This window comes from Homo sapiens, chromosome 7 (genome assembly GCF_000001405.40).
Source record: "Homo sapiens chromosome 7, GRCh38.p14 Primary Assembly".
Classification (NCBI taxonomy): domain Eukaryota; kingdom Metazoa; phylum Chordata; class Mammalia; order Primates; family Hominidae; genus Homo; species Homo sapiens.
The window spans coordinates 93,085,858-93,099,307 of NC_000007.14; the positions used below are offsets into that span (position 1 = coordinate 93,085,858).

General features: G+C 38.3%; 1 annotated feature.

Moving 5' to 3' along the window:
- Positions 7,053-7,102: an enhancer, noted in NCBI's record as "active region_26278". NCBI's record gives its function as "activates an Ori minimal core promoter by ATAC-STARR-seq in GM12878 lymphoblastoid cells {active_cell/tissue: GM12878}" and the evidence as "EXISTENCE:reporter gene assay evidence [ECO:0000049][PMID:35858748]".

Here is a 13,450-nt window from a genome sequence, read left to right on the forward strand (position 1 = left end):
GGTATGATGGGAATAAGGGTTGAAAAATTACCTATCAGGTATAATATTTGCTATTTGGGTAATGAGTACACTAGATGCTCAATCCCAGTGTGCAATATACCCATGTAACAAACAAGCATGTGTACCACCAAATCTAAAATTTAAAAATAATAATAATAAAAATTCTTTTATATTTTAATTATCTTTTAAATAAAAAGATTTATTATCTTATTATCTTTTTATTATTATTCAACAAAGAATATCTTTGTGGAATTTCTCATCAAATTATGAATTATTTTCCCAATTCCTTTGTATTGGCTGTGTTCTCTTGTATTTTACTGAGTTTCCTTAAGATCATTACCTTGAATTGTTTTTCAGGTATTTCATGGATTCTCATTTCTCTGGGGTCTGTTACTAGAGAATTATTGTGTTCCTTTGTGGAGGTGTCATATTTCCTTGCTTTTTCTTTTCTTTTCTTTTCTTTTTTTTGTTTTGGTCATGCACATTGATATCTGTGCATCTGGTGTAACAATTGCTCTTCCAATTTTATGGAGTAGCTTTTGCAGGAAAAAACTTTGCCCTATACATGTATCTATAGTGTCAGTTGGGTGGGGTGCTTTGGCTTTGGTCCTGGGGGCTGTAGTATAGTCCTTGTATGTTCTCTTGGGCTATCATCAATACCAGTGCAGTCTGTGAGTTTCTCAGTGACTTAAGCTGTGGATATTTGTGAAGGTTGTGATGCAGCTTTGATGGAGACAGGGGCACTGGGCAGGCCAGTCCTTGGGACCATGGGGGACCCACGCAGGTGTGTGATGGCCCCATTTCTGGAAAGGGAGGGTTTTCCAGTGGTGGTGATGACAGACCCTGAGTGGGCTGGTCCTCAGGCCCCTGGGTAGCATGTTCAGGCACCAGTGGTTGTGGTGGTTGTGATGGGCCTGGGTGGGCTGGTTTTTGTACCCCTGGGTGGCACATGTGGGTGCTGGCAGTGGTGGCAACAGGTTTTGGGTGAGCTGATCCTTAAAACCCTGGCCAGCATGCATGGTGGCCCTGCTGCTGGAGGAAGTGAAGTTGCTGGTGGTGGTGGTGTTACGCCCCAAGTAGTGCAGTGCTTGGGTCCCTGAGTGGTGCTTGTGGCCCTGCTGTTGAAGGGGTCAGGGTCAGTGTTGACAGAAGTGGCTCTGGGCAGGTGGCTCTCAGGTTCTTGGGAGTACATGTTTTGGCTCCCTATATTCGGGGGACAACTTCCCTGATGCACAGGACCATCTGTTTCACAGGGCATAAGGTGCTATATGGGATTCGGTACTAGGGATGTGGCTGCACCACTGGGTCCAGGTGGTATTGTAATGCTGTGTCCTTCTGGGTAGATTAGGGAGATGTCTCCATATATTTTCTTTCTTTATTCATCTGTTGATGAAAACTTATGTGGCTTCCTCATCTTGGCTATTGAGAATAGTGCTTCAATAAACATGGGAGTCTAGATACTTCTTTGACACACCAATTTCCTTTCTTTTGGACATATACCCAATAGTGGTATTTTTGAATCGTATGGTAGTTCTATTTTTAGTTTTTTTAGGAACCGCCATGCTACTTACCATAGTGGCCATACTAATTTACATATCCACCAACAGTGTATGAGGCTTCTCCTTTGTCTGCATTCTCACCAAAATTGTTTTTTGTCTTTTTTTTTTTTTTTTTTTTTTGAGTCTTGCTCTGTTGCCCAGGCTGGAGTGCAGTGGCGCAATCTTGACTTACTGCAACCTCTGCCTCTTGGATTCAAGTGATTCTTGTGCCTCAGCCTCCCAAGTAGCTGGGATTACAGTGTGCACCACCACACCTGGCTAAATTTTTTTTGTATTTTTTTTTTCGTAGAGATGAGGTTTCGCTATGTGGGCCAGGCTAGTCTCCAATGCCTGGTCGCAAGTGATCCACCTGCCTCAGCCTCCCAAAGTGATGGGATTACAGGTGTGAGCCACCATGCCCAGCCTGATAAAAGTCCTTTTAACTGGGGTGAGATGATATCATGTTTTGGTTTTGATTTGCATTTACGTGATGCTTAGTAATGTTGAGCATTATTCATACATTTGCTGGCCATTTGCATATCTTCTTTTGAGAAATGTCTGTTTAGATCTTTTGCCCATTTAAAAATCAGATTATTTGTTATTTTGTTATTGAGTTGTTTGAGTTCCTTACATAGTCTGGATATTAATCACTTGTCAGTTGAATAGTTTGCAAATACTTTTTCCCATTCTGTAGGTTGTCTCTTCACTTTGCTGATTATTTCCTTGCTGCATGAAGCTTTTTAGCTTAATGTGATCCAATTTGTCCATTTTGCTTTGGTTGCCTGTGCTTTTGAGGTCTTACTTGAGAAATTGCTGCTCAGATCAATGTCCTGGAGAATTCCCTCAATGTTTTCTTGCAATGATTTCATAGTTTCAGGTCTGACATTTTAGTCTTTATTCCCTTTTGATTTGATTTTTGTATATAGTGAGAAATAGAGATATAGTTTCATTCTTCTGCATATGGATATCCAATTTTTCCAGCACCATTTATTGGAGAGACTGTCCTTTCCCCAATGTATGTACTTGGTGTCTTAAAAAAATGAGTCAATTGCAAATGTATGGATTAATTTTTGGGTTCTCTATTCTGTCCACTGTGGTCTATGTGTCTGTTTTTATGCCAGTACCACGTTGTTTTGTTAATACAGCTTTCTAGTATTTTAAGTCAGGTAATGTGATGCCTCCAGCATTTCTCTTTTTGCTCAGGATTGCTTTGGCTATTCTATGTCTTTTGTGGTTCCATATAAGTTTTGGGATAGTTTTTTTCTATTTCTGTGAAGAATGTCATTGGTATTTTGATAGGGATTGCATTGAGTCTGTGGATACCTTTGTATAGCATGGACATTTTAACAGTATTAATTGTTCCAATTTATAAACATGGAATATCTTTCCTTTTTTCATGTCCTGGAATATTTTCCTTCCTGTCCTCTTGATTTCTTTTATCAATTTTTTATGCTTTTTGTTGTATAGATCTTTGACTTTTTTGTTTAAATTCATTTCTAGTTACAGTATTTTACTTGTAGCTGTTATAAATAGGGTTGCTTTCTTGGATTCTTTTTCAGATTGTTTGCTTTTGGCATATAGAAATGCTACTGATTTTCATATGTTGATTTCATATTCTGCAACTTTACTGAATTTGTTTATCAGTTCTAATGGTTTTTTTTTTTTTGGTGGAGTCTTTAGGTTTTTCCAAATAAAAGATTATATCAGAGCCGGGCACGGTGGCTCACTCCTGTAATCCCAGCACTTTGGGAGGCTGAGGCGGGCGGATCACAAGGTCAGGAGATCGAGACCATCCTGGCTAACATGGTGAAACCCTGTCTCTACTAAAAATACAAAAAAATTAGCGGGGCATGGTGGCAGGTGCCTGTAGTCCCGGCTACTCGGGAGGCTGAGGCAGGAGAATGGTGTGAACCCAGGAGGCAGAGCTTCCTATAACATAAAAAAGATTATATCGTCTGGAAACAAGGATAATTTAGCTTCTTCCTTTCCAATTTGAATGCCATTTATTTCTTTCTCTTGTCTTATTGCTCTATGACTTCCAGTATCATACTGAATAAAAGTGATGAAAGTGGGCATCCTTGTCTTGTTACAAATTTTAGAGGAAAGGCTTTCAGTTTTTCCACATTCAGTATAATAGCTGTGAGTTTGTCCTATATGGACTTAATCATGTTGAAGTATGTTCTTTCTATACCCAGTTTGTTGAGAGTTTTTATGATGAAAAGATGTTGAATTTTATTGAATGCTTTTTATAGCATCTATTGAAATGACAATATGGTTTTTGTCCTTTATTCTGTTGATGTTGTGTATTATGTTTATTGATTTTCATGTCAGAGCATCCTTGCATCCCTGAGATAAATCCCACTTGATCATGATGAATGACATTTTTAATGTGTTGTTGAATTTGGTTTGCTAGTATTTTTTTTGAGAATTTTTGCATCTGTGTTCATCAGATGCATTAACCTGTAGTTTTCTTTCTGTGTGTGTGTGTCTTTGTTAGTCTTGGTATCAGGGTGATACTGGACTCATAGAATGAAGTCAGAAGTGTTCCCTTTTCCTGTGTCTTTGAATAGTTTATGGAGTATTCATATTAGTTCTTTAAATATTTGGTAGAATTTAGCAGTGAAATCATCAGTTTCTGGGCTCTTCTTTGATGAGAGACTTTTTTTTTTTTTCAATTATCATGGCTTCTATCTCATTACTTGTTTTTAGTCTATTCAGGTTTTGTATTTCTTCACGGTTCAATCTTGGCTTCTTCTGGGTTTTCCAATTTATTGGCATGTAGTTGCTCACAGTAGACTTTAATGATCCTTTGAATTTCTGTGGTATCAGTTGTAATGTCTGTTTTTCATCTCTGATTTTATTTATTTGGGTCTTCTCTCCTTTTGTTTTTAGTGAGTCCGGCTAAAGGTTTGTTGATTTTGTCTATTTTTATAAAAACCACCTTTTCATTTCATTGATTTTTTGTCTTTTTAGTCTTGATTTTATTTATTTCTGCTCTGATCTTTATTATTTCTTTCCTTCTACTAATTTTGGGTTTGGTTTGCTCTTATATTTTTAGTTCTTCAACACGCATCATTAGGTGGTTTATTTGAAGTCTTTGTACTTTTTTGATGTAGGCCTTTATTGCTATAAACTTCCCTCTTAGCACTGATTTTGCTGTGTGCTCTAGGTTGTGGTATATTATGTTTCCATTTTCATTTGTTTCAAGAAATTTTTAATTATTCTGCTTAATTTCTTTATTTGCTGAACAGTCATTCAGGAACATATTATTTAATTTCCATGTATTTGTGTAGTTTAAAAATTCCTCTTGTTATTGATTTCTGTTTTCTTCCATTGTCATCAGAAAAAATACCTGACACAATTTCAAATTTTTTGAATTTTTTGAGATGCATTTTGGTACATCCTTGAAAATCTTGTATGTGCTGAAGAGAAAAATGTATATTCTGCAGCTATTTGATAAAATGTTCTGCAAATGTCTTAGGCTTATTTGATGTATATTATAGATTATGTCCAATATTTCTTTGTTGATTTCTGTCTAGATGATCTGTCCAGTGCTGAGAGCGGGGTGATAAAATCCTCAGCTATTATTGTATTGGGGTCTCTCTGTCTCTCTGTCTCTTTTACTCTGGCCCTAATATTTGCTTGTTATATCTTCTTGCTGAGTTAACCCCTTTGTCATTGTGTAATTACCTGCTTTATTTCTTTCACAGATTTTGTTTGAAATATATTTTATCTGATATGAGTATAGCTACTCCTGACCTTTTTTTGGGTTTACATTCACATGGAATATCTTTTTTTCCATCCCCTCATTTTCCATCTATGTGTGTCTTTATAGGTGAAGTGAATTTGTTGTAGGCATCATATAGTTGGGTTTTGGTTTTTAATTCATCCAGCCACTCCACCTTTTAATTGGATAATTTAGTTAATTTGTATTCAATGTTATTATAAGTAAGGACTTACTACTATCATTTTGTTTTCTGGTTGTTTTATTAGTCCTCTGTTCCTTTCTTCCTGTCTTCCTTTGTGTATAAGTGATTTTCTCTGGTAGTATGTTTTAATTTCTTGCTTTTTATGTTTTGTGTATCAAATAGGTGTTCTCTTTGTGGTTGCTATGAGGCTTGCAAATAACATCTTATAACCAATTATATTTAACTAATGACAACTTTGTTCACAAAAAAGAAAAGAAAAAACAAGCAAGCAAAGAGAAAATTGAAGAACTCTACACTTTATCTCCTCCACTTTTTGACATTTTATTGTCTCTGTTTACGTCTTTTTATATTGTCTATCTCTTAGCAAATTGTTGTAGTTATTATTTTTGATAATTTGCCTTTTGGTATTCATACTAAAGATATGAGTGGTTTATCCACTATAATTACAGTATTACAGTATTCTGTATTTACCTGGGTACTTAATTTTATCAGTGAGTTTTATGATTTATTATTACACATTAGCATCCTTTTCTTTCAGATTGAAGAACTTCCTTTAGCATTTCTCATAAGACAGGTCTGGTGATGATTAAATTCTTCTATTTTTGTTTATGTAGAAAAGTCTATTTTTCATTCCTGTTCGAAAGATAACTTCACTGGATACAGTATTCTAGTTTAAAACTTGTTTTCCTTTAGCGCTTTGAATATGTCAATCCATTCCCTCTTGATCCATAAGGTTTCCACTGAGAAGTCTGCTGCCAGATATATCGGAGCTCATTTACATGTTACTTGCTTCTTTCCTCTTGCTGCTTTTGGGATCCTGTCTTTATCCTTACTTTTGAAAACTTAATTAGTTTACTCCTTGAGGTAGTTTTATTTGGTTTGAATATGTTTTGTGTTCTTTGATCTTCTTGTACCTGGATATTCATATTTTTTCTCATAAGTTTGCAAATTCTTTGTTATTTCTTGGAATAAATTTTCTATCCCAATCTCTTTCTCTATATCCTCTTTAAGGCTAATAACTCTTACATGTGCCCTTTTAAGGTTATTTTCTAGATATTGTTGGCATACTTCATTTTTTTTTCTTCTCTGGTGGTATATTTTCATATAACCTGCCTTTGAGCTCACTAATACTTTCTTCTGCTTGATCAGTTCTGCTGTTGAGATATTCTGATGCATTTTTCAGTTTGTCAATTAAATTTTTTAGCTTCAGAATTTCGGTTTAAATTTTAAATTATTTCAATTTTTGTTAAATTTCTCTGATTGAAAATTCTGTATTCCTTCTCTGTATTATCTTGAAGTTCATCATGCTTCCTCAAGACAGCTATTTTGAATTCCCTGGCTGAGGTCACATATCTCTGTCACCCCAAGGTTGATCACTGGTGGCTTATTTAGTCTTTCTGATGAGATCATGTTTTCTTGGATGTTTCTGATGCTTGTGGATGTTTGTTGATGTCTGGGCATTGAAAAGTTAGGTGTTTATTCCAGTATTCACAGTCTTGTCTTGTTCATGCCAGTCTTTCTTGAGAGGGTTTTTCATGATTTCAAAGGGTATTGAGTATTGCTACTTAAGCCTATGGTTACTGCAGTCATTTCAACACTAGGGAGTGCCCTAAGCCCAAGAACACTGAAGCTTTTGCAGACTCCTAGATACACAATCTTGGTGGACTTGGGGAAGATAAAGGAGAATTCCCTGGGTTCCTAGACAAAGTCTCTTACTCTCTTCCCTCTCTTTTCCTTAAGCAAAAGTCTCTCTTTCTGCACTGGGCCTTCTGGAACTGTTGGAAGGGTGACATGGACACTCCTATGGCCACCCCAGCAGGCACTGCTCTGGGTTGTACCTGAAGCCCATTGTCTCCCAGACCAGCACAGTTTTGGTGCTTGCCCAAGGCCCATGGCCACTACTGCCTGGCGGCCACTGATGTTTACTCAAGGCCCACAGCCACTTTAGTCAGCAGGTGGTGAATCCTTCAAGGACTAGGTTTATCCTTGGTTCTCTACACTACAGAGCCAAACCATATCACCAGGTCACTTTAGTTGGCTGGTGGTGAAGCTGGCCAGGACTAAACTTTCTCCCACTGAGACAGAGAATTTCTCTCTGACTCAGGGCTAGTCTAAATGCTTCCTTCATGGACACTGGCAGAATTCTACTTGGTGTTGTGTTCCACCGTGACAGAGTGGCATTGAGTTCAAATGCAAAGTTTCACACTCACTTTGCTCTTTCTCCTTCAAACACACAGATTATCTCCATACATTGTGCTGCTGGGGTTCGGGGAGGTGTGGTGTAGGCAATGTAAGACTGTCCTTCCTACCTTCTTCAATGCCTCTTTCCTTATCAGTAGGTTAAAACCAGGTACTAAGATCACTCATCTGATTTTATGTTCTTATGAAGGTGGATTTTTATATGAACAGTTGTTCAAATTGCTGTTCCTGCAGGGGGATGATTGCTGGAGGGCTCTATTCAGCCATCTTGCTCCTCCTCCTCCTCCAAATTACAGAATTTAAACATTCTATAATTAAGTTTGTGAGGCCAGGCATGGTGGCTCACACCTGTAATCCCAGCACTTTAGGAGGCTGAGGCAGGTGAATTGCTTGAGCTCAGGAGTTCGAGACCAGCATGGACAACATGGCAAAACTCTGTCTCTACAAAACATACAAAAATTAGCTGGGCACAGTGGCATGTGCCTATAGTCCCAGCTACCCGGGTGGCTGAGGTGGGAGGATTGCTTGAGTCCGGAAGGCAGAGGTTGCAATGAGCTGAGATCATGACACTACACTCAAGCCTAGGCAATGGAGCCAGACTCTGTGTGTGTGTGTGTGTGTGTGTGTGTGTGTGTGTGTGTATCTATATATATCTCAAGTCTGTGATTCTTTTAGAGTTAATTTTTGAAAAAGATGTGAGATTCAGGTTGAGGTTCATTGTTTGGCCTATGGATATTTAATTGCTTCATACCACTTATTGAAAAGGTTATCCTTTCCCCATTGAATTGCTTTCATATATTTGTCAAAAATCAATTGAGCTTATTGTGTGGGTTTATTTATGGAGTCTCCATTCTATCCCATTATGTCTGTCCCTCTGCCAATACCACACAGCCTTGATCACTATAGCTAAATAATAAGTCTTGGAATCTGGTAGACTGGTTTTGTCTACTTTCTTCTTCCTTTTGTATGTATGTATGTATGTATGTATGTATGTATGTATGTATGTATGTATAATTTTAGAGGCAGGGTCTAGCTCTGTCACCCAGGCTGGAATGCAGTGGTGTAATCATAGCTCCCTGCAACCTTGAACTTCTGGACTCAAGTTATAATCCCACCCCAGCCTCCCAAGTAGCTGGGACCACAGGTGTTTCCCACCACTCCCAGCTAATTTTTGAAATTTTTGTAGAGAAGGGGTCTTACTATATTGCCCATGCTGGTCTCAAACTCACGGCCTCAAGCAATCCTACTGCCTCAGCCTCCTCAAACATTGGGATTACAGATGCAAGCCACTGTGCCTAGCTAAGACACACACACACACACACACACACACACACACACACACACACACGTCTTATATAGAGTGACATATATATAACATGTGATATATATATATGAGTCACTCTCACAAACAGACTGTTATATCTCCCAAATAAACACACACACACACACACACACACACACACACACACACACAGCGAGAGAGAGAGAGAGAGAGAGAGAGAGAGAGAGAAAGCATGATAGCATGATTGGATTCTGGTAAGAATGAGAGAGCTATCAAACTGGGATGAAAATCTGACCCAAGTGAAGGAGAAGTGAAGCATCCTTGACTTACTAGATCCCCAATTTTTACTCCTAGGCTTTCTTTCTAATAAAATCTTCACACATTTAATCCTTTCTTGGTATCTGCTTCTCGAAGGACCTGGAGTAATAGATTGAAAAAAAACCTGGTGAAAAGGGGAGATAAAGTGTTAACCTTAGAATTTTTTGTAGCATTCCCAAGGGAATGAGAAAAATAATCTACAAACATAAAACAACAACAACAACAACAATTAATAGTAATAATAAAAGCATTAGTGCAAGAAAACACAGTTGAGATACAAGGGATAGAACTCTCTATCTCACTGCCTACCTTGGTCAGTTTACATACCATGTTCACACACCTTTGAAAACCTGCCACATGATTCAAGGTATGATTGAAAGGATAGCCCCTGTTTTGGAGCTTAAAGTTCTTCTAAAACATACACAAAACTTCCATAAATTGGAAACAGATATGTATTGGGAGTAATAGTTAAGAACGAAGACAAAATTAAATCAGTTCTGAAGCATATACCCATTAAATAATTCCCTGTAAGTCCTCTTCAACTGCTTTCTTAAAAAACAGGAAGAAGTTCAGGTGAATGGACAAAGACTAAAATCAAGTTAAGATGTCACTGTTATCACTTTGGAATAGTGAAAGAAATTTGCTTTTTAAGGTCATGTGTCAATGCCGTTTAAGTTTCAAACTTAAATGGGTATTGGAGATGGTTGTAGGAATTAAAGAGTTTCAGGGATACCATGCTTGGATATCTTGTTTGTCCCTCCATATACGCTCTCCTCTTTTCCATACCTTGCTGATCGGTATGAACTGTATCAGTGGGCTCCCTTGTCCTCTAGTTTCTGGTTGAATTTGAACCAATGGGAAGCACAGGCAAGAGATTAAAGAGAGGAAGAAGAGTAAAATTATATTATTTATTCCCCTGGGCTTTCTCCTTGTGGGGCACTTCAGGCTGGCTGCATCCCTCCACTGAAGGTCACAGTTCCTATTAAGCAGTCCTCTCCAGAAAGTGCCCTCACCTTACTCCCACCGCCATCCTGCTAACAGTTCCCTTCTCTTGCCCTTCAGGAATAAGGATAGTAGGTGCTCCTCACGCTACTAGCTAGTCTGAGGGCACTGTTTTATCCCTTGAGACTTCCCTACTCCCTCTCCACACTTTCGAAAATAGTTCCTTTATTAAACTCTCCTCAAAGGACTACTTTTAAATGTGTCATCTGTTTCTTGCCAGGATTTTCACTTGAAGAGCATGAACTTAAATGAATCACTAAAATATGGGATTAGATTATATTTACTTCAACTAGGAAGAAATGGTGATAGCTTATCACTAAAGGATAGATTTCTGGATTTCAAACTGAACAATTCCCTTCTTCCACTAATGAAAGGAAATGCACTTTTTGACTTTCCTGAGTGTTCTCAGAGGTGAGGTATGACTTTCAGGCCATATTGGATGCCATAGAATTTAAAACTTGGCTATGATATTATGATGGTGGTGTACATACATATTTAAGTTTTAAAAATACATAAAAGAACAGAGAACAATAGTATACACACTTTAATTGGAGATTAGCTTCTTGACAATAAAGTGAAAAATCTATAATTATTTCAGTGTATATGAACTCTTTTTTTTTTTAAGCACATTTTAAGTTGAGCAACAGGGAGACCTTTGGAGGAGCAAGGGATATAAAAATAATGAGGAATTAAATAATTTTATTGTTCTTAGAGAAATAAGTCAAATAATCTTCACTCTGGTATTACTTTCTGAGAGCTTTTTTCTTTCTTTTTTTTTTTCACATCCTAAATAGCCAGAAGCAAAATTTGGCATGCTATAGTTTCTAAACTTCTTTTGTTGAGGCTACCATTTGTTTTGGGACTGTTGATAAACATTTTCTTTTTCAACGCTGAGTTTGGAAACTATCGTGTATTACAGTGACCTAATTAGTGGTTTCCAAAGGGACAGTTAACAAAAATTCTGATGTCTTTCCACCCTAGGTTGTATCTGAATTGGGAAATAGAATGTGCAACTTGAAAAGACCTTCAGGAGTTCTGTTCAATTGAGAACTGCTGGCCTGTGAAAGAGAAAATCAATATTTTAATCTCACCTTCTGTTATGGTCTGAATGTGTCTTCCCAAAATTTATATGTTGAAATGTAATCACCCTCGTGATAGTATTAAGAGATCGAGCCTTCAGGAGGGGATTAAGTCATAAAAAGTTCAGGGAGCTGCCACAGGGATGGGGCTACACAGAGAGCCCCTACTAGGGCAATTTCTATTGGAGCAGCAGGAGTGGGGCCACTGCAGAAAGGCCCCACCAGGGCAATGCCCAACAGAGTTATGGAGTTGGGGTCACCACAGAAAGCCCCCACTGTGGCAATGTTTAGTGGAATTGTGGAAGCAGGATGATCTCTGAGATCCCAGACTTGTAAAGCCACCAGTGTGCAATGTGCAGTGCCAGCCTGAGAGAGCCTCAGGCACTCGACTTCAACCCCTAAGAGCTGCTGCATGGGCTGCACCCAGCAAAGCCATGAAGGCAGTGCTGTCTGAGGGATTGGGGGCCCAACCTCCACTCCAGTGTGTGCAGAAGGCACGGCATGGAGTCAGAAAAGATTATTCCCAAGCCTCAAAACTTAATATTGTTTGCTTTGTGTTTTGGACTTACTTGGGACTTGGGATCTTCTTTCCTATTTTTCCCTTTTGGACTAGGAATGTTTATCGTATGCTTGTCCCACCATTGTAGTTGGAAGCACATAACTTGTTTGATTTTACAGGCTCACAGCTGGAAAGGAATTTGCCTTATGAAGAGTCATACCTTAAGTCTCACCTGTAACTGATATAGATTAAACTCCGGACTTTAGACATTGGAGCTGGTACTGGAACAAGTTAGACTTTTGGGGCTACTGGGATGGAATGAATGTATTTTGCATATGAGAAGAATATAAATTTAGGGAGTCAAAGGTAGAATGCTATGGTCTGAATATGTTTCCCTCAAATTCATAGTTCTAAGGAAATATAAAACTAAATAGGTAAAGAGAATTATGATAGATTAAGGTGCCTGTTAAATTGATCCTGCACAATTCAGGAATTTTTAAATTTTCAGAACGAAAACTCACACACATTTATTACACTGGTGTTCTTTGGAAAAGTGGGTCTGAATTATTATAATATGAAAATTGACTTTTTTTCCTGTTAAAAAATGTTAAAATTTAACTTTGGCTCTAAAATGATAAAAATTAGATACCAAAAGAGGTGATGAACCAAAATGCATATTTTCAAAGTAGGGCGTTCAAGAACCAATTTGACAATTGACCTATAATAAAGACATAATAGAAGAGTTAACTGCATAGAGCGGGGGTCAACAAACTTTTCCTGTAAAGAGCCAGATAGTAAATGTTTTAGACTTTGTGGCCCGTAGGGTTTCTGTGGCAGCTACACAGCTCTGTTGTTGTAGTGCAAAAGCAGCCACAAACAATACTTCAACAAATGAGCAGGGCTATGTTTCAATAACACTTTATTTACAAAGACAAGCAGTAGGCTTGATTTGTCCCAGAGGCTGTAGGTTGCCCACTGCTGGCATTGAGGAAATAAGGGCTTATGAAGAGGTTCTTTTGGAGAAAGTTCTCTCATACCCCTATGAGAACCTTCTCTCAAGCCTTGAGAGAGGGGGCCTTCAAAAGGTTCACTTGAAGCGCTTTACCTGTGTCCCTCCGAATTTACAACACATGTTGTTCCCCAAACTGGAAATTACCTTCACTCCCTACCAATGGCAGAACAAACACCCATAAGTGTTTCCTGTTCCCCAAGGCAGGTCACGGGGGACAGAACATCTGCCTAAACTGGCTTAATTTGAGTTCAAAAGAATCACCCCAGAAGGCAGGAGTCCAGAAGATACAATTCTGTGCAGAGTGAACTGAAACCTGGGGCAGACTGGGAAGTGGCTTCAGAGAAAAACGTGACTGGACATTCTAATTGAAACTCCGTTTGACCAGAGGATTTCTTTTACATTTTAAAAATTGAGCTGAAATGAAATGAGCCAGGCACAGAAAGACCAATACTGCATGATTTCAGATTGGATGTGGAATCTAAAAAAGCTAAACTCATAGGAGCAGAAAGTTGAATGGTGGTTTCCAGGGTTGTAGGGGCAGTGAGGGAGGTAGTGGGAAATGAGATGTTGGTCAAAGGGTACAAAGTTTCAG